Source organism: Homo sapiens, chromosome 20 (genome assembly GCF_000001405.40).
Source record: "Homo sapiens chromosome 20, GRCh38.p14 Primary Assembly".
In the NCBI taxonomy this organism is placed as follows: Eukaryota; Metazoa; Chordata; class Mammalia; order Primates; family Hominidae; genus Homo; species Homo sapiens.
Window position 1 is genome coordinate 1,978,166 of NC_000020.11, and position 24,706 is coordinate 2,002,871.

The window sequence follows — 24,706 nt, forward strand, 5'->3', positions numbered from 1 at the left end:
CACCCATGGCTACAGCATCCTCCATCCCTAACTCACTCATCCTTGTCTGGGAACATGTCTCTATCTCCTGTCCTGGTCATCTAGCATAGAAAACAGCCCATGGGAATTATGTGGGATGCAGACTCCCTCTGCAGCACCTCTCCCCACTCTCCTCATTGTGTTGCTTAATGCTCAAGCTTTGTCACCATCCCTTAAGACAATGTAGGAAAAAAAACTCATTTACTGAGCACCTACTGTGTACCAGGATCTTTGCATATATGAGCTCCTCTAATCCTCACAGCAACTCTACAAAATTGGCACTATTAGTCTTTATTTTATGGAGGCAGGAACTAAGGCTGAGAGAAGCCAAATGGCTTACTCAAGGTCGCACAGATCCAATGTTCCAATTTAAAGCTGTGACACTTCACAGTTTTTGCTCTTTCTGTTATCCCACACTTGGTTTTCCAACCTGAATATGTGTGTGTGTGTGTGTGTGTGTGTGTGTGTAACTCTTCTTTATTCCCTAGCACTCTTTTCTGCAAATTTTTTTTCTCTCTGAGGACTGAGGCTCACACACATGTGCACGTGCACGTACACACACACCCACCAAGTCATCAGCATCTTTCTTTTATTTATTGTACTGGAGGAGCAGGAAATTACACAAGCCTATTAAAGGCTAAGCAAATTCCAAGTAAATTGCATAAATGGGATTTTTTTAAAGGACACAAAATAACTCTAAAACAATCTATCCATTTCAGAACATCATCAGATACCTGGGGACTGCGCATGAAGAGATGTGCTCAGCAGCATCTTATACAAATTATCCAGACTCAAGCCTTTTCCTCTCCTATCCAGCCTCATCTCCTGGACCCACAAACCAAAAGAGAGTGCCTGGGAATGAGAGAGCAAAAGAGAGACAGACAGACAGGGAGGGCTTTGATGGAAACCAAGACATCAGGAGGTCTCTGCCTCTGATTCAGGGTTATTTGAATCAAGGGAACTCATTTGGCCTCAAGCACTTAATCATTTTATTCCTCTTTCTGGTTTTATTTTGAGACATTAAGAGGAAAGAAGCATTATGGGGATTGAAGAGGGCTTTTTCTCTTTCTAGCTGCTGCTTCTGGAGTCCCTTACCCAATGCCCAGTGCGTATGTTGGGCCAGATGGCTTGGACTCTTGGCAGCCAATTCAGCTGCTCAAGAACATGGTTGTGCTTAACTTCATCAGCTTGACTCTGCTTCAGTTCACCATGGAGTAGAAGCATGATACCCATCAGTTTAATTAGTTTAATGAGGGCTGAGGGAACTGGTCCACATTTTGAGTTTGTTGCACAGAACAAATTGGTTTGCCTTTCTCCCTCCTTGATCATTTAAGCATTCAAGAGGCTGCTCTCAATCATTTCCGAAAGAGGTTTTCACTCCCTTCTGTAAGGAGTTAGGCACTGTCCAGGGTACCAACATGACTGGGAGTTCAGGAAGTCAGTTCTTCAAGAGGTGCTTTTCTGAACAATGAGGACTCAGAGTACACTGACTAAACATTAAACCCACTAGAAGACTGGACCCTCTACTGTAAGGGTTCCTGATCCAATATAAGGCAATGTTTAAGCTTTTTACCTAAAGCATCGTCTCCAAAGTCAGGTGCACAGGAGATCTTTTGAGATTTGGGAATATAATGTTAGGATTTCTGTGTATGATTATTTACCTTCTTTTAAAGTTCTACTCTTTGTTTATGATGTGTATACTATCTGCATGAGGGAGCATGCTCATATTTCTTCTAAGAGGGGCATGTGATCTGTTAAGTTTGGACATCATAGACCTACAGGTACAAAGAACACATCGCTCTGGTTCCCTGGAATTGAGGAGTCACGTGAACAGGTTGGAAGGACAGATCACAAACTGCTGCTGCTGCTGCTGCTGCCGCTGCTGATAGTTTTAGAGTCTAGGTGTCTGAGCCAAGCACTAAGCCTATTGTGGGGAAGGGACATCCACCCTTCCCCATCACAGACCCCAGAGAAATAACATACTCCCACGCAGAAGAGAGATAGGCTGGGCTTGGATATTTTGTACACAATGCTGAGCTGAGCATGGGGAAGGGGCACATATAAGAGGATGAATGAATGCACTCCAACCTGAAAAGGTGTCAGGGGTTTCTCCTGACTCTACTCCATGAAAAGAGGTGCTTATGCATCAAAAAGCTCTCCAGAGTAAGCATTCGGATCTTCCTGAGACCGAGTCACCACCTTGAACTGGCGCCGGAGAAAACCGCCATAGCGCTTCTGGTTGTCCCACTTGAGCTTGGGACGAATGCGCCGCAAGAAGCCCCCATAGCGTTTGTACAGGTCCTCATGGCCCATGCTATCCCCGTCCCCCTCCCCAGCCACCTCTGAGCTCCTCTTGGGGTATTTGCGCAAAAAGCCCCCATAGCGTTTGACCTGCTCCTTGGGGTCCTCCTCAGCGAGATAGAGTGTGCCAGTCTCCATGGCACCATCGTTCAGCTGGGCATCCCTCATCAGCTCAGACTCTGCTCCCTCCCTAAACCCGTCAGAGAGACCCCTGAGCTTCTCCTCCAGGCTCTTGCTCAGAGTGTTCTCCTTTGTTGAGATACTTGGGAGAAACTTGCTTTTCTCCAGCTCCTTCAGGAATGACCCAGAGAGCTTGGCCAGCTCACTGTAGGGCCCTTCCCCAACCGACTTGCTCCCCAAGTCCTCCTTGTCATTGAGCCCAAGGGTGGAGGGGGTGAAAAAAGACAGAAAGCTCTGGCATCTCTCCCATTCCTCAGAGGGCAGCAGGGCAGCCTGGCATTGCAGGGAGCAAATCTGCAAAAGACCCAAAAAGACCACAGTGGCAAATGATCAAAACACATGCACTGGTCTGCCCCAGGCTCCCCTGTCCAGTGTCTGAGAAAACCAAAATGAACGCCACTGCTAAGCCCTGGGCTACCCATGTTCATACTACTGGTGGTGCATAAAGGTAGGGGACTTTGTGCCTGTGAGAAAGAGAAGACAGACCTGGAGAGGTGAAATGGCTTTAGACCCAGGACACATGGCTGCAGGTGGCAATTGCCAGAATTGGAAGTAAGATCTTCCCGTAGTGTTCTGCGTGCTCACCTTTCCCCCTCCACGTCTGACTCCCAGACAGGAAACCCCATCTCCACTAAAAATACAAATTCTCTCCCAGGCTTCTGCAGGTGTGAAGCACACTGCTAACTCTTGGTAAAGTGGGACAGAGAAGTGCAGCATGGCAGAGAACACACAGGAGAGGACACAGGAGGGTTCATCAGGCCTGGGGTGGGGGGCAATGGCATCACTTCATAGGGCCATTGGGAGCATTCAATCATAATGACGATGACAATAGCAAAGAATATGGAACTTGAACCCAGGCCGTCCAGTGCCATGAGTCTTCATGCTTAAACGTGGTGCTCTTTGAGATTGGGCACGGGCAGGACCTGGCCCATTGTGTGCATCTCTCAGTGGCTAGAATTATGTATTAAATAACTTCTTTTGTCAGGTGCAGTGGCTCATGCCTGTAATCCCAGCACTTTGGGAGACCAAAGCTGGCGGATCACTTGAAACCAGGAGTTTGAGACCAGCCGGGCAGACATGGCAAAACCCCATCTCTACTAAAAATACAAAAATTAGCTGGGTGTGGTGGTGTGCACCTGTAGTCTCAGCTACTCGGGAGGCTGATGTACAAGAATCACTTGAACCCAGGAGGCGGAAGTTGCAGTGAGCTGTGATAGTGCCACTGCACTCCAGCCTGGGCAACAGAGCAAGACTCTGTCTCAAACAAAAATAAATAAATAAATAAATAAATAAATAAATAATAACTTCTGGCATGGGCTTGATAGCCCATGCCTGTAATCCCAGCACTTTGGAAGGCCGAGGTGGGCAAATCACTTGAGGTCAAGAGTCTAACACCAGCCTGGCCAGCATGGTGAAACCCCGTCTCTACTAAAAATACAAAAATTAGCCGGGTGTGGTGGTGGGTGCCCATAGTCCCAGCCACTCGGGAGGCTGAGGCAGGAGAATCATTTGAACCCAGGAGGCAGAGGTCTCAGTGAGCCGACATCATGCCACTGCACTCAAGTCTGGGCTACTGAGTGAGACCCTGTCTCGGAAAAATAAATAAATAATTAAATAACTTCTTTCACTATCTCATGGAATCACCTCCATTTTGCAGATGAAGAAACCGAGGCTTAGAGAGGGAGTTCCAAGGTCATGGAGCTAGAAAGGGACAGAATCAAAGTCTGTGTTCTGTCCCTATGCCCTTGGTACTTCTATTCCAGCCTTTCTGCTGTCATGGGAGAGACATGTGGGGGAACTTAACTCAAAGGAAAGCCGACAAGGTAGGGTCAAGAGGTGCTAAGGCCCAGGAGAGGGTCAAAGCTTTGATCCTGTCAGCCAGATCTTTGCATTTAGGGGTGTTGGAGACAGCTCCTCTCATGGAACTGTCTAGATTTGGAGGTGCTCATCAGCCCAGGAAAAAGAAGCCCTGAAAAGTCAATCTAGAGCTGCTGACTGCCGAAGTCAGCACCACCTCAGAAATGACACTCCCTGTTGCCAGGCATCACTCTCCCTGGACACCTGAGTCTCTTGTCCTGGCCTAAGTGAACCCATGATGGCGAGGTCTGGAGTGGGGACACAGCAGCCCCTGGTGTCCAGGCCATCTATAGGGCAGGACACCCACCACCCTGCACAGGTGGGATGGATCTACAAGACAGCACACAGCTGCCCAGGCCTGCAACCTCCCCTCTCTGGGCTGCCTCGCACAGGTCCAAGGACCTGGGCATTGAAGAACCTTGCCTGAAACCTACCAGGGGATTGATAGGTTTGGGACCATCCTGGGTCTTTACAGCACACAAGGAGCACCGCGACAGGCAGTCCGCTGTGGTGGAGGGGAACATGAGGAGGCAGGCAGCCAGGACCAGCCCCTGCCAGGCCATCCTGTCTCAGCAATTCCTGCTGGGGAGGAAGAAAGAGAAGATAATGAAATCTGTGATCACCACTCTGTAGACTGTGTTCTGAGCCCACAAAGTCATCTCTAACTCCTGCCCACAGCACTGCAAAGCATTCTGATTCCCATTCTACAGTCAAGAAAACAGAGGCCCAGGGAGGTAAAGCAGAGGCCCAAAGCCAAGGGTCAAGGAAGGGAATGAGCACCCACTGTATACCCAGAGCTTTCCTGCACATTCACTTTCAATCTGCACAATAGTTCTTCAATGTGGGCTGTGCTAGTTTGATTCAACAGATGGGGAAGCTGAGGCTCAGAGCTGGGAAGTGGTTGCACACAGCTAGGAAGTGGACAAGCCACGACTTGCTCTGGGTCTTTCAGACTTCAAAACCCACTTTGGCCACCCGCCAAGCCAGAAGATACTTGGCTAAATGCTTTTCTGAGTTCTCTGAGGTCTTTGTCCCTGTGTCCCAGACTGTCCCATGTCAGTCCTTTCGGCTGTGTGAGGGCTTTGGAATTTTTCTCTCCCACTCTGGTACTGTCACTGACCTTGGCCACGGCTCCACCTTCACTCCCTCTCCCTGCTGGCCTCCCTGCCTGCCTCCAGTTCCTTCTCCGATTCCTCCTTCCTACCCTGAAATGCCGGTCTTGGCAATATCAATTCTGTGAACACACCCATTGGGTGGGGTCAGGCTGGCCCTTCTGCCTAAATGTCAGGGCTCCCTCAGTCCCTTTCCTACAATCCCACACTTCAGCTCTGGGCTCCAACCACATCAGCTTCTTGCAATTCCCTTAATGAATGCATCAGGCTCTGACCCACCCCCAGGCCTTTGCACATGCTGTTCCCTCCGCCTGGAGAACCCTTCATCTCCTATTCTGTTACCTGTCATTTAGGTCCTGGATTAGATATTACTTCACCCAGGCAGCTCTCCCTGATTGCCTAGGCTAGGTGAGCTGCTCCTCCTTTCTATTCTCCCAGCAACATGTGCCTCTTCCATGAAAATAGTCTACTATTTGGTAATTAGCTATGCGAGTCTTCAGGATTTGGTTCCACGTCTTGTCTTTTTCTCTGAAATAGTCACTCTGTTCCTCAAATAAGCTTGCTCCTACCTCAGGGCCTTTGCACTTTCTGTTCTTCTGCCTGCAGTATTTTGACCTCAGACTTCTACATCACTAGTTCCTTCTTTGTCATTAAATTAGTTGTCACATTGGCAGAGAGGCATTTACTGATCACTATGTCTAATGAGGCTTCCTTGGTCTCTCTCTTACATCACCCTTTGTTTGCATCAGAACACTCCCACCTCATAGTCTCCTATCTATCTGATGCTTGGTTGTTGTTGGTGGTGTGTATGTTGTGGTTATTGCCTCCCCAATAGAATGTTAGCTCCTTGGGGACACAGACCCTGTCTTATTCTCTGCTGTATACTAGCTCCTAAAACCCCGGCCAGCACATCGCAGGTCCTCCATAAATTCTTGGCAGATGAATTAATGCTTCATAAATACTCTGTTAAAAGTTGTCTGTTTTGCAGGGCATGGTGGCTTACACCTGTAATCCCAGCACTTTGAGAGGCTGAGGCGGACAGATCACTTGAGTTCAGGAATTTGAGACCAGCCTGACCAACATAGTGAAACCCCATCTCCATTAAAAATACAAAAATTAGCTGGGAAGAGTGGCATGTACCTGTAGCCCCATCTACTCAGGAAGCTGAGGCAGGAGAATCATTTGAACCCAGGAGGAAGAGGTTGCAGTGAGCAGAGATTGTGCCACTGCACTCCAGCCTGGGCAACACAGTGAGACTCCATCTCAAAAAAAAAAAGTTGTCTGTTTCATAGTCAGCGCTTTATAAATCAGACATCAAGACTCAGGGCCTCGATATTTGATTTATGGGGGCGCAGTACAGTTCTTTCAACTGGATCCTCTAAGACACTCCACCCCACCCTGGCCAGGGGCTTCATGCTTCGCCCAGCATGGTCTTTGTAACCTGACAACACCAATTTACTCTCAGAAAAGGCTGTCCTCTTTTCCTCCAACTTCCCCATCCCTGCAAACTGCCGTGTTTGCTCAGGTGCTCAGAGTGTTTTGAAGCTTCCACTCCACGGGCCCCAGAACCCCACGCTGTAGCCAGAGCAGGGTCTCCCCGTTAAAGCATGCAGTAGGCTCCCCCACCAGAGCATGCCTAATAGTGATCCCAGCCGCCATTTATCAGATCCCTACTGCTCTAAGCTCTTCAATTCATCACCTCATTTATTCCTTCAGGGAAGCGGGCACTTCTGGTCTGGTGAATTGCCCATGTTCTACCTCGAATAGTGAAGCTGGGGTGCAAGGCCTGCTCTGTTTGACCCCCTACACTTAATGACTACAATTTCTAGAGCAACTTCAATTCAGTGGCAGCTGCACCCTCCGTGAGATCCAAGGGGCTTTATATACAAGGCCCTTGACCTGTGTATTGTACTTAGCCTACCCACAAACTGTGAGAGGTGGGTATCACTAGCCCCACTTTATAGACAAGAAAACTGGTGCTCAGAGAGGCTTAGTAAATCTCCTGAGGTCACATAGCAATTCGAGGCATAAGCTCAGGCCCATGTGCCTCGCTTGAGGCTGGCAAGGTCGGCTCCCCTGAACCAGGGAGGCTCAGTGGAAAAGTCAGGGAAGCGGACTTGTGTCCCTCCTGTGTCTTTCTCTTCCCCTTGAGTCTGTCAGCTGCGGAGTGGATTACAGTTCCCCACCAGTGAGCCATACAAAGCGGGCAGCTCATGTTTTCTCTGATATCAGTGATGGCTGGGCTGGCCTGTTAGAAGATCAGCAGTGAATTAACCTACTGGGGAGGGGGCGCCTACCACACCATCTAACTCCTGGCCGAAGGCTTCCCACACAGCTTAGCTGCAAAGGTAGGGGACTCACGTTAAGATCTCTTTATCTCAGGCAAAAACAGCATTGGCATCCTTGTCTTTCATCCATTAACTTTATATTGAATGATAATTCTGGTTGATCTGAAGGTAATGAAGTACTCACGATGTTCTGAGCAGTTCTCGTGGATTAACTCATACATATTCACAGAAACTCTACAGCACTGGTGCTGTTGCCATGCCCACTTTACAGATGAGGAAACTGAGTTAAGATTCTAGAGCCTGCCAAGATTCTACAGTGAGTAAGTGGCAAAGCTGGGATTCCTACCAGGCTGTCTGGCTCCAGAGCTACCTTCGTAACTGCTGTGTACTGCCCAGGCCCCTTCAGTCCTCTCATCTCCAGCCTCCAGCTTCTCCCTCCAGGTGGACCCTCCACCTGGTTCTGGAGTAGCCTCCAATCTTTCCCTCCTAGACACTTTCCACGCAGCAGCTGGAGGACCCTTCTGAAATGCAGATCTGACTGCACCTCTGCCCTGTGTCCACTGGCTTCCAGAGGAAGATTGTCCCCATCACCTAGCAGCCCCGGGCTCTCCTAATACCAACAGCTGACATTTGCTAGTGCTCCCTGTGTGCCTGCCCCTGTGCTCAGAACTCTGTGTGTCTTATTGTAAGGGGGTCCTTCTGACAACTCCGTAAGACTGGGACTAATATTCTCCCCATTTATGGATGAGAAAATGGGACACAGAAAGATCATATAGTCTGTCCAAGCTATCCCAGCAAGTACACAGCACCCAGACAGATTGGATGTGAGTTCTGCCCATCCTGGGCTTGACCAAACCACCTGCAATTTCAAAACAAATGCTCCACACACCCCACCCTCCAAGCCTTTGCACAAAGGGTTTCCTCTGACAGGAACATCTTTCTCAACCCACTCATCCACTCCCATCACACTTTGACCTGGCTAATTCTTACTCATTATTCAAAACTCAGCCTCAGTTGCCTCTTCCAGGAAGTCTATCTGGATTAGTTCCCTCCTTTGAGCTCCCACGGCCTCCTATGCTGGCTCCATCACAAAATTACCACTTACCTGTCAGTCCCTTATGGGCAGGTAGGGGGGTCGCTGAGGTGCGAGTGTGTTGTGCTTGAGGATGACAAAGAGGCCAGGGTGCATGAAGGGACGTAAGGGAGAGACTGGGGTGAAAAAGCAAAGAGGTGGGCAGAGGATGGATAATGCCGGCTCTCATAGGCCAAGGGAGAGTTTGCATTTGATCTAAATGTGACTGGAAGACTAAGGAAGTTTGAGTGATTGATGAATGAATGAATGAATGAATGAATGAATGGTGTCCCAGTACCTCATACAGGGCTAGAATGAGAGCAGGAGCTGCACACCAATTAGTTATGAAAATAAACAGGCAATATTTTAAAATTAGGCAATTTTTACATTTAAAAAAATCTCAATTTTCAATTTGTCTTGAAAAAACAAAAGGCCTGGGGACATTGAGCCTGTATTCCAATATGGCAACAGTCACAGAGGAAGAGCCATACTGCCCATCGCCACCCGCGGAACCACCTGGGGCTTCCCTCACTGCCGACTGCCTGACAGACAAGTGAGTCTGCAGCCCCTGAATTACCCACTCTAACTCGGAGAAGCAGCATGGGGTGGAAGGGACACAGCTGTTGAGAAAGGAGAGGTAGGACCTCAAATTCTTTCCTGACCCCGAAGCAGGATCACCAAGTGGTCAGTAAAGTGGGCTCAGGTCTCAGCCCACCACTTACCACCACTTTAGGAAAATGACTTAGCTTTACTGTGCCTCAGTTTTCTCAGCTACAAAATGGGGCTAATAATAATGCTTCAGAGGGTGGACATAGGAACTAAATAAATGATCACATTTGAAGCACCTAGCTTGTGCTTGAAGCACCTGGCACATAGTAGGTGCTTTGGAGAGGGGAGTATGAAGACTCCAGTCTAGTCTTACTTGAGCTGTAGGGGATAGGAAAAGAAGAGGGCAAAAAGGAGAGATCATAAAGAGCTTGGCACACTGCAGAAACAAAAAATGCTGCTGCATGACTCACTGCCGTGGACGGAGGGCCTGCTGGGTGTTGGTCTGGGCTGAATGCCCTTCATCCATGATCCTGTCAACCCAGCAACAGCCACCGATTCTCAGGAGCCTACTGGGTGCCAGGCTGTGCATTACTGCTTTGTACATATTAGCTCCAATCCTCACAGCAGCCCCAGAGGTGCATGTTTTTCTTTTAATATCCATTTTACAGAGGGCCAGACTGAGGCTGAGAAAGGGGAACTTGCTCATCCAAGTTCACCTGGAGTTATGAATGGGGGAGTTGGGCTCCTGTCCAGATCCCTCCGGGTTAAAAGGGGACCCTAGTAGAGACACATTGGCCCTCACAATTTCATAGGTGATCCTATTTCCTTCCTTTTATAGGATAAATACATTACTGAACAATGTCAGATGGGCCCCAGGGGAAGCATTTCGACCTTTCTGATGGGGATTTGCCAAGGAATGGAGCTGGGAAGTCACACATAAGAGAGAGCCCTGCCTGCCTATCATGTCTGATTAGGGATGGGCCAAGGAGGAAAGGAACTTTGCCGATCATCGGGATGAGAAGTGGGAAGCAAGCCCCCTTGGTAAGCGGGAGGCATGATGTCAGTATCTGACCCTGATGGAGGGCCTGCATGGTCTTCTTTCACAGACTTGGCCAAGGACCCGGAGGCCACACAAGGAAAAGTCCTTTGCACTTGGCAGTTTGTGAAGCTTTTTCTCAGCTGCTACCTCGGGTGCTTTGTAATAGCCCAGTAGGGGAAAGAGGGGCTGATGGGGCAGTGGGGTGATTCTCCCCTAACAGGTGGGGTTGTTTCAGACTCACCAGCCTGCCTAATCACATGAGCCAATTCCTTACGTCAATCTCTTTCTGCGGATAGGCACACCTTGTTGGCTCTGCCTCCCTGGAGAACCTTGGCTAATACGACACCCATGCCCCTTTGTTTGCATCTATGTCTGTGGTTGTTTTCATGCTGCAAAAGCTGAGTTAATTGCTGAAACAGAGACTGTAGGGCCAAGAAAGCCCAAAATATTTACTCTCTGGTCCTTTACAGACAAGGTTTGCTGACCGTACTTTGACTGGTTTTATAAACATTTTATGATTCTAATAGTTTTTAAGCTAATTTTCTTGAGTCCTCAGGCACTTGAACATATTCTTAAATAATAAAACATTTTTTATGCCTTGCTAGTGGATGGATCTCTTGCCAGGAGGTCAGGTGGGTTTCCTGATGGAAGAGGCAGGAAGCAACTGGCCCCATTCTTCAGCCCTGAGCCCTTTCTAGTTGCCTGGACTGCTCTCCTGGCAAATACTGAGAGGACCTGGGGAGGCTTGCCTTGGGATTTACCTTTTCCTTGAGAGGGAAAGGCATGGGCTCTGCGGTCATTTGGTGCCACCTCCTCCACAAGCCTCAGTCTTCTCATCTGTGATTGGGGTGTATCATCTTCCTGCACTGAGACAGCACTGCTTAAAGGGCCAGCACAAGGTAGACCCTCTTTTCACCCAGGGCCCAGAGTTCCTTGAAAGGGAATGATCTTTTTGACGTCTTGGCTTCTCGATGATATTTCTATATTGTAGTCAGCTGAGGGCTCAGAGGAGCCGCAAGCGTTTTTATTTAAAAAGCCAGCATGGAATAATAATGGCTTGATTTAACATTGCAATTATCTCTCTGAGCACTTTAGCGCATATGATTACCCCTATTTGATGAAAGAGGAAATGGGAAAAGGTAGAAATGAAGTCACTTGTTTAAGGTCATATCATGAGTCACGAGGGAAATGGAGACAGAACTCCAGCCTCCCACACCTGAACCGTGACTCCCACTAAAGAGATGCCATTGTTTCAATGACCCTGCAATGACAACCATCCTAACAGCCAGCAAGGACTGAGACGCTGTTCTGCACCAGCCCCGTGCACTCCAGGTGCCTCCCGTGGACCCTACGGGGCAGGGGCTAATATTACAGCTTGGGATCCAGATGGGAAGGTGAGGATCAAGTGACAAAGTGCCTCTCCGTGGTCACAGAGCATGGCAGAGTTGGAATTCTCTAAGTCCATCGCATTCCTCATTTAGGGTGTAGCTATGAGAAGGGACAAGCTCTTTGCTGTCCACTTTATCTCAATTATTTCTCTCTTCTCTTGAAGAGAATCCAGTGGGTTGGGAACTATTAGTTCCATTTCCAGATGGGGAAAACAGAGGCTCAGAGTCTAAAAGACTGGGCCAAGACCAAGAAGCAAGGAAACAGCAGAATAAGATTTCAGAGTCAGTCTGCTGACCACGCCACAAACCATCCTGAGGCCTAAATATGTATCGAGTGTCTTTCGGATAACCTCCCAAACTCTCACATTCCTGACGTTGAAACCATTTCAGAAGCTTTTGCCCCACACTCGAAAGTGTAAAGTTCACCCTTGTGGGTCTCCAGGTGGTTGGCAAAGGGAGCCCCTGAACCTGGAAAAGCGGTGCCCCTTGTTAGGTGTTAGCATCGTAACGAAAGACGAATGATCAATGGGAAGGAGGCTCGGGTTCTGAACAGAAAGTAAACCCACACTTTAGCCTGGCAAAGATCAAAGCACAGAATCGGATGAGGGTCCCGTTTGGTGGTCGGCTGCATTTGCTGTGCAGAGACCAGAGGGAAAGACGGCCTTGCAGGCAGTGGTCCTGGTGGGATCATTCACTGCATATTTAAAAGAACGTTTTTCAAGAGCAAGGTTTGGATGGAACCGCCACCCTTTTTGTTATCTGGTGCAATTAAGGGATGGGGAGAAAGGCAAAAAGAGGATAAGCTAGAGAGATATGGAGATGAAGAGACATAGAGAGAGAGATGTAAAAAGAGAGAGTTAGAGATATAGACACAGAGAAAAAGACAGGGGCCCAAAAGAATGGCAGAGGTGAGAACTGCACACACAGAAAAAGAGACCGAGACACCGAGAAAAAGCAGAGAGAGGTGGAGGACCATATGGGAAGAAAAAATAAGATGAGACATAGAGATGGGGAGAGGACAAATGGGAATAGAAGGGAAGGGGGTGAGGAGGAGGGGAAGAAGAGGGAAAAAAGGGAAGGGAAGTGAACACAATAAGAGAGAGAGAAGTGGGGAGGGAGAGTAGATTTTGATTCAGGATGCTGACATACCGTGTGAATCACAAACACCAATTCTCTCCCTCCTGCTGCTCTCTGAGTCTGCCCTTTGTTCCTAGGGACCAGTGGGCAAGAGACCCTGCCACATAATAACTGCTCAGTAAACCGCTGTCAAGTTAAATCAAATCGTCCAGGAATAGGACAGGGACCAAATGGCAGTTCAAGCCAATGCATCAACAAATTGCCTCGGTGCATATGTCTGCGGCTTGTGGCCAGCCGCTCTGGCCAGTGGGATGACCTGGATGGACTCGGAGGAGCCCCCTGAGCCAAGCCATGTGCCTCATGGACCTAGGCCATCGTCCTCCTGCCAGGAGCATCAGTCTGGATCCAGGCTGGGAGGGACTGATGAGGCTGCGCTTCACAGCACTAACAGACCCCACTCCATTTCGAGGGTCTGATCCTGGGGCTTACCTGGGTGTCTCCAGCCGATGTTCACTGCCTACCACAGTGGCCAGCTCTGTCTCAGTGAAACAGGTTTATCACTTTGTCAGACCCAGCAAGATTAGCCAACATTCATGGGCTGAGATGAGTGAATACAGTGAGAGAAATCAGCTGTGTAACCACACTTTGTCAGGCATGCATTGAAATCGAACCAGTAACTATTGATCTCTCTTACAATGATGGAAGAGATCTAATAAATACGACAATTGTGCAGGAATGACCCAAGGAGGTGGGTAGTGGGAGGTGGATTTAGGGAGTATCGATCAAAAAGAGACTTCATGATCCTGATGCAGCAGATGAAATAAAAAGTCTTCTGCTGGGATGGGGAGGGGAAAGGAGCACCAGCCCCTCAAATGAAAATATTAGACATTAGATCATATCTCCTGGACATAGCACACAGCATGATGGAGTGGGATGATCAGCGATATGATAATCGATGGAGAGAAAGGTCCAACCTCACCACTTCGGAACAGTGAAAATCTGAGCAGTCATGCCAGTATTTATTGAGCACCTACTGAATGCCAGGCATTTTGCTATATCCCATTGGAGACTTGCAATAACCTTAGGAGGTGAATATTATTATTATTCTCATCATACAGGTAAAGAAAGTATGACTCAGAGAGGGACTTCTACTGTTCCAAAGTCACACAGTAAGTGAGTGGTAGGATCTGGGATTTCAGCCCAGCACTGTTTCAGGTGTTGTGAGACACACGTGTAGATGACAGATGGAAAATTCCTGCCTCCCAGGAGTTACTTCAAGAAACCTTAACTCCTTCCACGTGTTTTAAGATCGCAAATCTCTCAAATAGCCCCAGAGCTGATCCCTTTGCCTGCTCCCTTAAAATGTGCTGCCTTCCGCCACATAGCCTTGGGAACCAGTGTGACATCCCCCTCCCAGCTGCCAACAGAGGCATAGGGTTTGCCTGCCACCTATCACACCTCTAGCTCAGCTGGGGCAAAGCAGTGGGCTTGAGATCCCGTCAGTGAACGCAAACCACCCCCAGGCAGCATAACTCACCGGCTTGGGCTGCTGCAACAGCTCCCCCCACGCAGATCTCAAAGCCTGAAGATAAATGACCTGCAAAAATAGAACAAAGGCAAGGTGTGGTGGGACTGGGGGGAGAAGAGGAGGGGAAAAGAGAAGGAAGGTGCCACAGAGGGGTGGGAGTGAGGCCTGGGGTGAGAAAGAACAGAAGAGGATCGACATTCTGCAATGCTTTGCAATGGATCTCGACTGGGATGCCTGTCAAATTAGAAAGGCAAGCCTTGTATATTTCAGCAACCCTTGGAAGAAAGATGATAATGAAGACTTTCAGTCTGTGGGAGGGGAATTGAAATCAGATCCAATAATCGAAAGAGCTTGTTTCCCCTGGGAAGACTGGAGACTTAATTAAGTAATGTTTGTAGAGCTTGGAGGGATTCTTGATACCCAGGAAAAAGTAAGCAGTTGCAGAATTTACTCTTCAACCTTGGAGTAGTCAGCAGGCTTTTTTTTTTTTTTTTTTTTTCCTGAAACTCATCAGCTTTTTGCTAGAATCAAACTTTGAGACTTGGTACTTTTCTGAATATGGGTCTCTGGACCAGTGAGCAAATGGCTTTCCCTTTGAGCCTCCTCCTGGCCTTAGACTCCTCTGGCTGTAGTTAATAGGAGAGCAACAAGTCCTTTCCAAGTAAAATGGACAAGAAAATGCCTGCTAAGCCTGGGCCTCCTGGCTTGTTGTCACTCCCTTTTCCCATTCCCTTCCAACAAAACATCCCCAAACTTCAACCTGTATCAAATTCCATCAAAAGAAGCCGCTCAAACCAGCACCCTGTCAGCAATTAAACACAATCCGAAAAGAATGAAAAGGCCGAACCTGGCCGTACATTGATGTACATGTTATGTGATAAATGCCAGAGCCTTGGATCTCATTAATGTCCTCAAGCCATTGTTCTCTAAGTCCAGTGAGACTCATTGACCTTTAAAATCACCCTGATTAGTGAAACCTCTCACTTCTCCCATCCAGGGTGTCCCATTTTCCCCAGACCCTGGGAATGGCATGGGAACTGCTGTGTGGGAGACTGCAAGAAGGAGACCCTGGAGCTAAAGCCAAAGGGTGGTCCTCTTGGGAGAGAGCTTACCACCTGTTTAAGCCAGGACTGTGCAGAAAGGGAGAGTCCAAAGAGCAGTCTCTCACTGGTCTGGCTTTTGTGAACTAGCCTCCTAACTGTAACCACCTTTGCTAGATAATCAGACCCAAACCTAAAATCCCCAGCCCGAGCTCCCACCATCTCTAGGTCCAGAGGACCAGGAATAAGCAAATAAAACCAAGCGATAGAATTCCAGTGCCCCCTCTGGATGTTACCTGCACTCTGCTTTGTCCCTGGGCAGCTTCTGGCCGAGCAGGTCGGAGGTGGCAGTGGCTGGTCCAAGGCTCAGGGGCCTCCTTGACTCCGGCTTGGGAGGAGGTGCCAAAGAGGCAGCTGTGAACACCACCAAAGCCCCTTCAAATGGCAGTTCTGGTGCCTCTTCCCCCCTTTTATGGACGAGAGCCTCCCCTGTCGCTCAGCCCTTGCTGAGCACAGGCTGCTGGGAGCCAATGGGGAAGTGGCTGAGAGCAGTCAGAGCACAGACCCCCAGGCCCTTCAACTCGAACTCCCTGGGCCTGACACAATAGGCTTCTCTTCGTGACAGGGATGTGGAGGAGGAAGGCAGCCGTGTTGGGGAGGGGGCGGATTCTGGGTGTAGTGCTGTTTGTCACTTGAAATCCGGCCACTTCAGTTTTTGATGCGTTTCCAGGAGAGTGTCACAGGAAAAAGAAGACAGGGAAGGACAGAGACAGAAGAGTTAGAGAAAGAGAGAGAGAGAGAGAGACTCAGAGAGAATCGGAAATCGAGAAAGAGGCAATGTCGGACCTAGGGAGTGATACAAAGGAGGGGAGAAAGAGAAAGAAAAACAGAGACAGAGAGTGGCAGAGATAGGGAGATGGGTAGAAACACAAGGAGAGAGGGACAGAGCAAGAAAAAAGGAAACCAGCCAGGTAGACTGTCAGACTCAAAACACACTGATCCACAGACAGACAGACGTGGAGACAGACAGAGGCTGAGACAGTCTTCTGATCACGGAAGAGAGTCGGAAGATGACAGCCGAGTCAGCAGGCACGTGCATGGCCCGCTGTTGCGTGCCGTGGCAACTCTGTGTTGGCTGGTGCACGCGTGTGCTGGAATCTTTTTGTGTGTACATTTGCCTGCAAACGGCATTCGGCTCTGGTACATGCCTGAGCTGGTGCCAGGCACACTAGCCCTGGCAGAAGCACAGCTCTTCCCCGACAGCCAGGAGCTGCAGTTTAGTTTTCTCTGGCGGCAACACAAAATGAATAGCAGGAAAAACCCCTCAAAATATGGGCTGCAATATGCCTCAGCACACACTCTGGGTGAGGGATGGACCCACCTCAATATACCCTTGGCCTGGACCAGCAGCAGCTTGAAGGTGGCACTCTTCATTGCTACAGAGATCTTCCAGAACATAAGGGTCTTTGAGTTTGGAAGAGAACATGCTTCTCTTCTCAGTCAATAGCAGACAGTTTGTGGTGGGAGGCACAACTATTTCAGAAGTCTGGCAGGGCCGCCCATTTTGTGGGCACCTGGCTGCACCAGGCGGTTAGGTAGAGTTGTCAGATTTAATCCTCATGACCTAGCCAGTTGGTTAATATTATCCCCATCTTGCAGATGAGAAAACAGAGGTTTGAGAGCTGAGAAACTTTCCTAGAGACACACAGCAAGTAAGTCATCCAGCTAGAACCTAAAGTCAGGTCCATCTATCCTCCAAGTTCCTAGAGACACACAGCAAGTAAGTCATCCAGCTAGAACCTAAAGTCAGGTCCATCTACCCTCCAAGTTCCTAGAGACACACAGCAAGTAAGTCATCCAGCTAGAACCTAAAGTCAGGTCCATCTACCCTCCAAGTTTCTGCCCCCTCCCTTGCCTCTCCCCAGGCTTGAATCTGCCCACACTGAGGGGTGGGGTCAGTTTTCTTCTCTGGGACTCAGCCTCTCCATACACAGGCTGTGCTTAATGACATTTAAGATGTGAGTTTGACTCTCAGGTCTGCCACTCACCATCGGAGAGACCTTGGATAAGCTGCCAACTTCAACCTCTGATTGCTCATCTGTACAGTGGGGACAACAGTATCATGGGGCTCTTGGGCTCTTGTGAGGGTGAAAGGAGGATGTGTCAATAGCACTTAAAGCAGCCAGTACGGAGCGGATGTTCTGCTCCCATCATTCCTGATAAACCACATCCCTCCAGCTTTGATGCAGCAGGTTCTCCTGGGCATCCTCCTCTCCCTGCACCTGGCTCGTTAAACTCTCACATAAGGAGGAGGGTAGAAGGGGCTGTTTGCTGAACACCTATTATGCCTCAGACATTTCCACATTCCATCACATCCTCACAACAAGAAAACCTGTGGTGTGGATCTCACAATGCGTCCTCAGATGGAGAAGGCAGCAGAAGTTCAGAGAGGCCCCAGCCACCCAGGGAGGGAGGAAGAACCGAGACCCATCCCTCAGATCCTGAAGCTGCAGCCCCACCACACTCCCCTCTGGACCCACAGCCTCACTTTCCTTCTCCTCCCTGTCTCCTCTTCCCGAGGCAGCACAAGGGGTCTGACTGGCGGGTGCAAGCGACTCCTGGTGCCCTATGTGGAAGCCCCTGCCCAGTTGGTGATAGCCAGTGCGCAGGGTCACCAAGCACTTGGCCACATCTCAGGCTGGCTTCTTGCATGGTGGCCAGAGGACATGAGTGGAGTCTATTCATTGCCACCCTGGGAATCTGGGAGCCCAGGAGTGAGCGTCTACTTCATCCCCAAGGCCAAAGCCTCACTCCAACTGCTCTCTTTCCTCATTTTTCATTTCCTCCTTCTCCTCCTAACCTCTGCCTCTATAAGCTCTTGGTAATAACCTTCGAATACACAGAGACTCTTAGAGAGGGAGTACAATGGCTCCCGTGGCTGGAAGTCAGCAAGCACTGGAAGAGCAGAGGACAGGGGCCTCTCCTGACTGTTATTCACCAGAGGGAAGTTGGGGCAGTGAGAGTAGAGACACTCATGGATAATCCTCATTAAGCCATTGATGTCTGATATCCTTCACCCCCTGAGTCTACTGTTGCCTCAAGAGCAAATAGTTCCTGCATTTGCCTTTCCTCTCCTTCCGCAGCCTCCTTTACACACACACACACACACACACACACACACACACACATAGAAGGCCAGGAGCAGCCTTCCCCCTTAGTCCTGGAGAACCTTGCCATAAAGCTCACCCTCTCCTGGGCTCAGTGATGCACCAATCATGGTGCTGGCCCTGTGGGCAGCAGTCCCGGGGGTGGGTACCATGGCTCAGCCAGGCTCACTTCAGCTTAGATCCCGACGCCACTGCTTCCTCACTGTGTGACAACTGATGGATACTTCGCCTCTCTGAGCACCTGAGTCATTCTGAAGACAGGAGGATGCTGCTAGCTTTTATACAGATGTCAGGGCTCATTCCAAAGCTCTAGAATGCTCCCTTCCCTGCACACCCTCCGTGCATGACCAGTTTCTACTGCAGATCTCGAGGTGGGCAAAAGGCAAAGAGTAAAGAAAAGGAAAGATTTAAAACAACCAGTCCTCAAATCACTCCATTAGGTAGGATTCAGGAAGCACAGGCTGGAAGACAGAAAAGTTAAGAAACAAAGCCAGCATTTCTGAAGGGCTGTCTACTACCAGGCCCCATTGTAAACCCTTGACACAAATCAACACCTGATTCTCCCCACCATTCTGCCATTAGATGCAATTCCTGCCCCCACCTTACAGAGAAGGAAACAGAGGCTGGGAGAAGTTAAGTCACTCGCACAAAGGCACACAGGTAGAAAGTGGCAGAGCACAGCCTGATCCCAGGCAATCCGACTCCAGGCATGTGCCCCAGCCATGAGCTGCGCTGCGCCTGGGCTTCTCCTCCCTGTTCTGCTTCATGCTCCGAGCTCTGTGTGCGTTCTCTACTCACCTGTCAGCCTGGAAAAGTGGCAGCAGGCAACATGGATCACTCAGGAGGACCTCAGTGGGATGAAGTTCCGGTCCTGTGGTCAGCATCAAGTCTCCCAAATCACTTTTCATGCTGCCGTGTGTCCAGCGTGGATGTCCACACCGGGGCTGGGTGGGCAAGCGCGTGAGAGACTCCCACTGCCCCAGCCGTCGTGTTTGTGCCTCGCTGCTGCAAGAGGGAGTGAGGAGCTGTGCTCATCATCTCTCTCTCTCTCTTTCTCTTCTTCTTCCTCTTCCTCTTCCTTTTCTTCCACATATCTGTATTGAAACATCCCAATGTGCCATTCTCAGTGCTGAGCCCTTAGGGCTTAACATGCCACACACAACTTTGCCCTCTTTGTCCTCACAATCCAGGTTGAGGGGCAGGTATAGGAACAGCCACTCACAGCAGTACGGCAAGTAGGGGCTAGGAGACCTGGAATACTGTGGGAACAGAAAAGGGGCTCCCAACCAGCCTGCTGAAGAGTTGGGAGAAGGCTTCCTGGAGAAAGTGAGCGTGAAGCTGAAGACTGAGGCACAGGTGGGAGTTTTCCAGGCAGAGGGCAAGAAAGGGCATGTCAGGCAGAGGGAACAGCTTAGGCAAAGGCCTACAAGCAAGAAGAGTTGAGTGGGATGGTGGGGGAGTTGCTCTTGACTCCCCTCTTTCTCTTGCCCTGACACCTCCTCTTCACTGCTTCTGACTCTATCGCCTGGGCCCCCGGTCGCTGTCACTTCTCTCCTAGATGGCTGGCCTCTTCCTCTGCCCTTACCCAGCCTACTATTTGTTCCTCAGCAGCCAGAGAGATTCTTTTAAATGCAACTCAGGCCAGGTGCTATGGTTTATACCTGTAATCACAGCACTTTGGGAGGCCAAGGCAGGTGGATCACCTGAGGTCGGGAGTTCAAGACCAGCCTGGCCAGCATGGTGAAATCCTGTCTCCACTAAAAATACAAAAATTAGCCAGGCATGGTGGTGGGCACCTGTAATCCCAGCTGCTTGGGAGGCTGAGGCAGGAGAATCGCTTGAACCTGGGAGGCAGAGGTTGCAGTGAGCGGAGATCACGCCATTGCACTCCAGCCTGGGTGACAAGAGTGAAACCTTGTCTCAAAAAAAAAAGAAAAAAAAAAGAAAAGCAACTCAGATTGTACTTCACCCCTGCTTAAAACACTCCAGTGGTTTTCATCTGACTTGGAAGAAGGTCCACATATTCCTCACTTGGAAGGTCTACTCTCTGCTGACCTCCTGTCCTCCCCGCTTCCTGCAGCTGCCCTGGCCTCCCTGCTGCTCCTCAAACACACCAAGCACATTCCTGCCTCGGGGACTTTGTGCTTGCTGTGCCTTCTCTGAGGAACACACTTTTCCCCACATTCCTTCCATCACTGCATCTGGCTTTGGGCTTAAACGTCACTTCCTAAAACAGGTCTCTTCTGCACACCCTGTGTTCTGTCCCTCTCCATCCCTCACCCACCTCTGTCAGTCTCCACAGCATTTATCCCTCCCTGATGCAATATATTTATTGGTTTATCTGATTATTGCCTGTTTCCGCTGGTGGAATGTAAACTCTAGGGAGGTAGGAATTTTGTCTCGCCTGGCACATTGTAAGTGCTCAGTACACATTCGTTGAGTTAGTGACTAAGAGAACAACAAATGGTTCAGTGTGGCTGGAGCACAGAGTGAAAGATGGGAAATGGAGAAGAAGCCACACAGGACCCCAAGGGCCAGGTCAACATAGCACTTTATCTGAAGCACGTTTGGAGGCTGGAAAGGGTTGGCAATGGCTCTCCATGTGGACAGAGAACTCAGAGATCTGGAGGGAACTTATTCAATCATTTAATCTGGCTCATGAGCATTTCTTGGTGCTCTGGTGCTGGTGATTCAGATTCAAATCCAACAAGATTCCTATGCTCAACAAACTCACAGTCCAATAAGGGATATCTGTTGGCATAAAACACCATGGAGTGGGTGCAAAAGCAAAGCAATGCAAGATACAGAGGCAGCAGTGATGTACTCTGTCTGGGGACCCCTGAGTAGGCAAACTCTGAGGTGGGTTTTGAAGGATGAATAGGAGTTTGCCAAACAAAGTTTGGTCTCCTAATGCACCTCAAAGAGCCAATGTCAAGGAAATGGAGACATTGAAAACTTCATGTGTTATGGCTGGAATGTAAAAGGGTACAGTGTTATGGAAAAAAAATTTTGATGGGTTCCTCAAAATGTTAAACATAGAATTACGATATGACCCAGCAATTTCACTCCTACATATACACCCAGAATAATTGAAAATAAGGACTCAGACACTTGTACACCAATGTTTATAGCATCATTATCATCATCATCATCACCATTAATTTAGAGACAGTGTTTCACTCTATCACCCAGGCTGGAGTGTAGTAATGTGATCACAGTTCCCTGTAAGCCAGCTTATTTATTTATTTATTTATTTATTTATTTTAGGGACAGGGTCTCATTATGTTGCCCAGGCTGGTCCCAAACTCCTGGCCCCAAGTGATCCTCCCATTTCAGCCTCCCAAAGTGCTAGGACTGCAAGTGTGATCACCATGCCCAGCCTATACCAGCATTATTCACAATCAGCAAAAGTTAAAAACAACCTGAGTGTTCATCAACAAAAAAATAGATAAACAACATGTGGCAGATGCACATGCAACAAATAATTATTTAGTTATATAAAGGAATGAAGTTTGGATCATGCTACAGAATGGGCAAACCTTGAAAACATTACGCTAAGCGAAATAAACCAGACACAAAAGGACAAATACTGTACGATTCCACTTCTATGAGGTACCTAGAACAGGAAAATTCATAGAGAGAAAAAGCAGAGTAAAGTTTACCAAGAGCTAGGCGGAGGGGGAAGTGGGGAGTTATTGCTTAAATTGCACGGAGTTTCTGCTTGGGGTGATGAAAACATTCTGGTGTAGATAGTGGTAATGGATGCAACAGCATTATGAAGCCACAGAACTACCCATTCCCAAAGGGCAAAACTTCACCTTCTCTCCTATTTTGCCTCAGCTGGCAGCACAACTTCCACACTCTGAGCTGATAGTTGTTGTCCGTCTACTTGATGCCCATCACTCTGCTAGTTCGTCTCTATGTATTATTATCCCATTTAATCCTCACAGCAAATCAACAAGGTAGGTGCTATTTTTGCCTTCATCTGCCAGAGGAAGAAACTGAACTCAGAGAGGTGGCCACTTGCCTGAGGTCATACAGCTCATAAATGGAATAGACCCCAAGTTCCTCTGACTGTAAAGACCATGCTTTGCACTACTACCTCACAGAGGCAAGCTGAAACCCAAAAGCAGCAAATGCATACATGCTATTATCCACTGAGAGTCACCCTGTGCCAGGCAGAATGCTAAGAACAGGGATACATGATCTTTAGTAACTTCTCAGCAGCCCAGTTAGGCAGGCACTGTAAGTTCTACTTTGCAGATGAAGAAACAGACACTGAGAGGTGAAATGACTTCCTAAGTAGCGCAGCAGGACACGGACAGAGTCAGGACTCACATCAAGATCTGTATAGCTCCAAAGTCTGTGCCCCTTTCTGCTTTGTCACATCCACCCATGATGCTCCTCTGTCCTTCCTAGACTTCTGGGACCAAGACCTGAACAAGAATTTGACCAGCACATGGTAAGGAGGGACACCTGTTTACTGAGTACCTACTATGTTCTGGGTCCGGACTACAGGCTTCACATTTATGACCACGTGTCTGGAACATGTGCCTGACCTCTGCTGCCAGTCGAACAAGAGGTCAGTGGCAGGATTGGATGCCTGGTCTAGACTTCACTGGGTAATAATGTGAACTGTTTTTAGCCCCCTGCACAAAAGAGAAAAACCTTACATCTCACATCACTAAAATCTAATCACAGCCTCCACTCATCAAGTCTCTGCTAGGTGCCAGGCACATCTCCTAAACTGTCTCATTTAACCCTCACAACAACTCTAGGAGGTAAATATCATTAGCTCCACTTTGCGGATGAGGAAACCGAGCTGAGGGCTCAATCACCTGTCTGAGGTTACACAGAATGTGATACAGCTAGGTTATAAACCTCGGTCTGTCTGCCTCAAAAGCCAGGGCTCTTTTCACTCATCAAGCTACCTCTCAAAAGCCACCATCTCCTAATTCCTCAGCAGCAGCCTGGGCATCAGCAAGAGGACAGACCTGCCCGGAGATTCTGGGTATTTGATCTGAAATGAGACCCTTCATTTAAGACCTGCTCCTCATCATCCCATGAGCCCCATAATATACATCATTCCTAATAATAGCTCTTTATGCCAGGTGAGTTTCTTTTTGCCAAAGGAGGAGATTAAACTGATTTTTTCTCAGTCATAAATCTTACAGTTTCTCCTAAATCCTATTGAGCTGACAAATTGTGGCCTTTTCTGTATTCATTCCACAAGACACCTGGAGTATGTATTATAGGCCAGGTTCTCTACTAAACACTGAGCTGCATGGCTAAGATGACCCAGTTCCTGCCCTCTGGGGATCACAAGCTGGCAGGGATGATAGGAAGTAAACAGTACTTTCAGTGATTTCAGCACCACCTGGACGGGGCTGAGATAGAGGTGTGGATATACAGAAGTACCCAAGCCAGTCTGTTCAATATGGGAAGTCATCCTGGAGCTAGAGACCAAGGCTGGGTTTTGAAGGATGAGTAGGAGAGCTCCATGGTGACCAGAAAGAGTTCTGTGCAGCTGAAAGAAATCATCCAGGCTTTTTAAAGCAAAAGTTGATTTAACACAGGGGATAAGGAACTCTAAAAGGTGCTAGCGGAGGGAAGGCGCTGGAGGAGTCAACAGGGCCTCTGTAAATGACTCCCAGAATACTACCTGACCAACCAGCCATGCAATCAGAAAGCCAGGCAAATGGGAGACCACCCCTGCAAATAGTGAGTTCAAGAACTTACTGTCACACTTGGGTCCAGGGATCTGGAAGCTGGGACTGGGGAGCCACCATGACGTCATCACAACTGCCTCTCAACACCCATGGAGGTGGCCACCAGACTCTGAGATGCTGCTGCAAAAACCCCCATGCCATCATGATGGCTCCTGCTGGAGGAAAGAGCCACAGCAGCAGAGAGACGGCCTCTGTTTCAATTCCAGAGTCAAAATCTCACACAGCCTAGATAATTGACAGAACATAATTGACATCGAGAACTTTAGCCGCAAGGGAGGCTGGGGAAAATAGTTTTCAACTCCTATCTCTGCAATATGGGAAAGTGTACCAAGGAGAAGAGGGGGAGTGGATGGGAATGGGG

General features: G+C 48.8%; 1 protein-coding gene and 1 long non-coding RNA gene across 14 annotated transcripts in view, besides 1 other annotated feature; one reads left to right on the plus strand and one right to left on the minus strand.

Moving 5' to 3' along the window:
• The window catches only part of PDYN-AS1 (PDYN antisense RNA 1), a 60,308-nt gene that overhangs the window by 30,956 nt on the left and 4,646 nt on the right, over positions 1-24,706 (plus strand). The window lies entirely within an intron of this gene.
• PDYN (prodynorphin) lies at positions 591-16,120 on the minus strand. Of its 13 annotated transcripts, none has more exons than NM_001190900.1 (4): positions 15,522-15,583; positions 14,419-14,478; positions 4,791-4,938; positions 591-2,793 (listed from the first exon to the last, which is right to left on the minus strand). In NM_001190900.1, the coding sequence occupies exons 3-4, from the start codon at positions 4,917-4,919 to the stop codon at positions 2,158-2,160; spliced, it is 765 nt and encodes a 254-aa protein (NP_001177829.1). In that variant the 5' UTR covers positions 4,920-4,938; positions 14,419-14,478; positions 15,522-15,583; the 3' UTR covers positions 591-2,157. The 13 variants fall into 13 exon arrangements, with proteins under 13 accessions (NP_001177829.1, NP_001177828.1, NP_001177821.1 ...); NM_001190898.3 differs by lacking the exon at positions 15,522-15,583 and adding an exon at positions 15,746-15,893 and having other exon boundaries at positions 594-2,793; positions 4,791-4,935; NM_024411.5 differs by lacking the exon at positions 15,522-15,583 and adding an exon at positions 15,746-15,893 and having other exon boundaries at positions 594-2,793.
• Positions 15,433-16,263: an enhancer, noted in NCBI's record as "H3K4me1 hESC enhancer chr20:1974244-1975074 (GRCh37/hg19 assembly coordinates)". NCBI's record gives its function as "activates a minimal SCP1, AML or CMV promoter by ChIP-STARR-seq in naive H9 embryonic stem cells {active_cell/tissue: H9 hESC(naive)}" and the evidence as "EXISTENCE:reporter gene assay evidence [ECO:0000049][PMID:30033119]".

What these genes read in the sequence shown, in the direction of transcription:
- PDYN (NM_001190899.2), bottom strand. Translation starts at nt 4,919, where the DNA reads ATGGCCTGGCAGGGGCTGGTCCTGGCTGCCTGCCTCCTCATGTTCCCC. An exon ending in CCAAACCTATCAATCCCCTG is followed by an intron (nt 2,794 to 4,790) that starts GTAGGTTTCAGG and finishes GGTCTTTTGCAG; the next exon opens with ATTTGCTCCCTGCAATGCCA.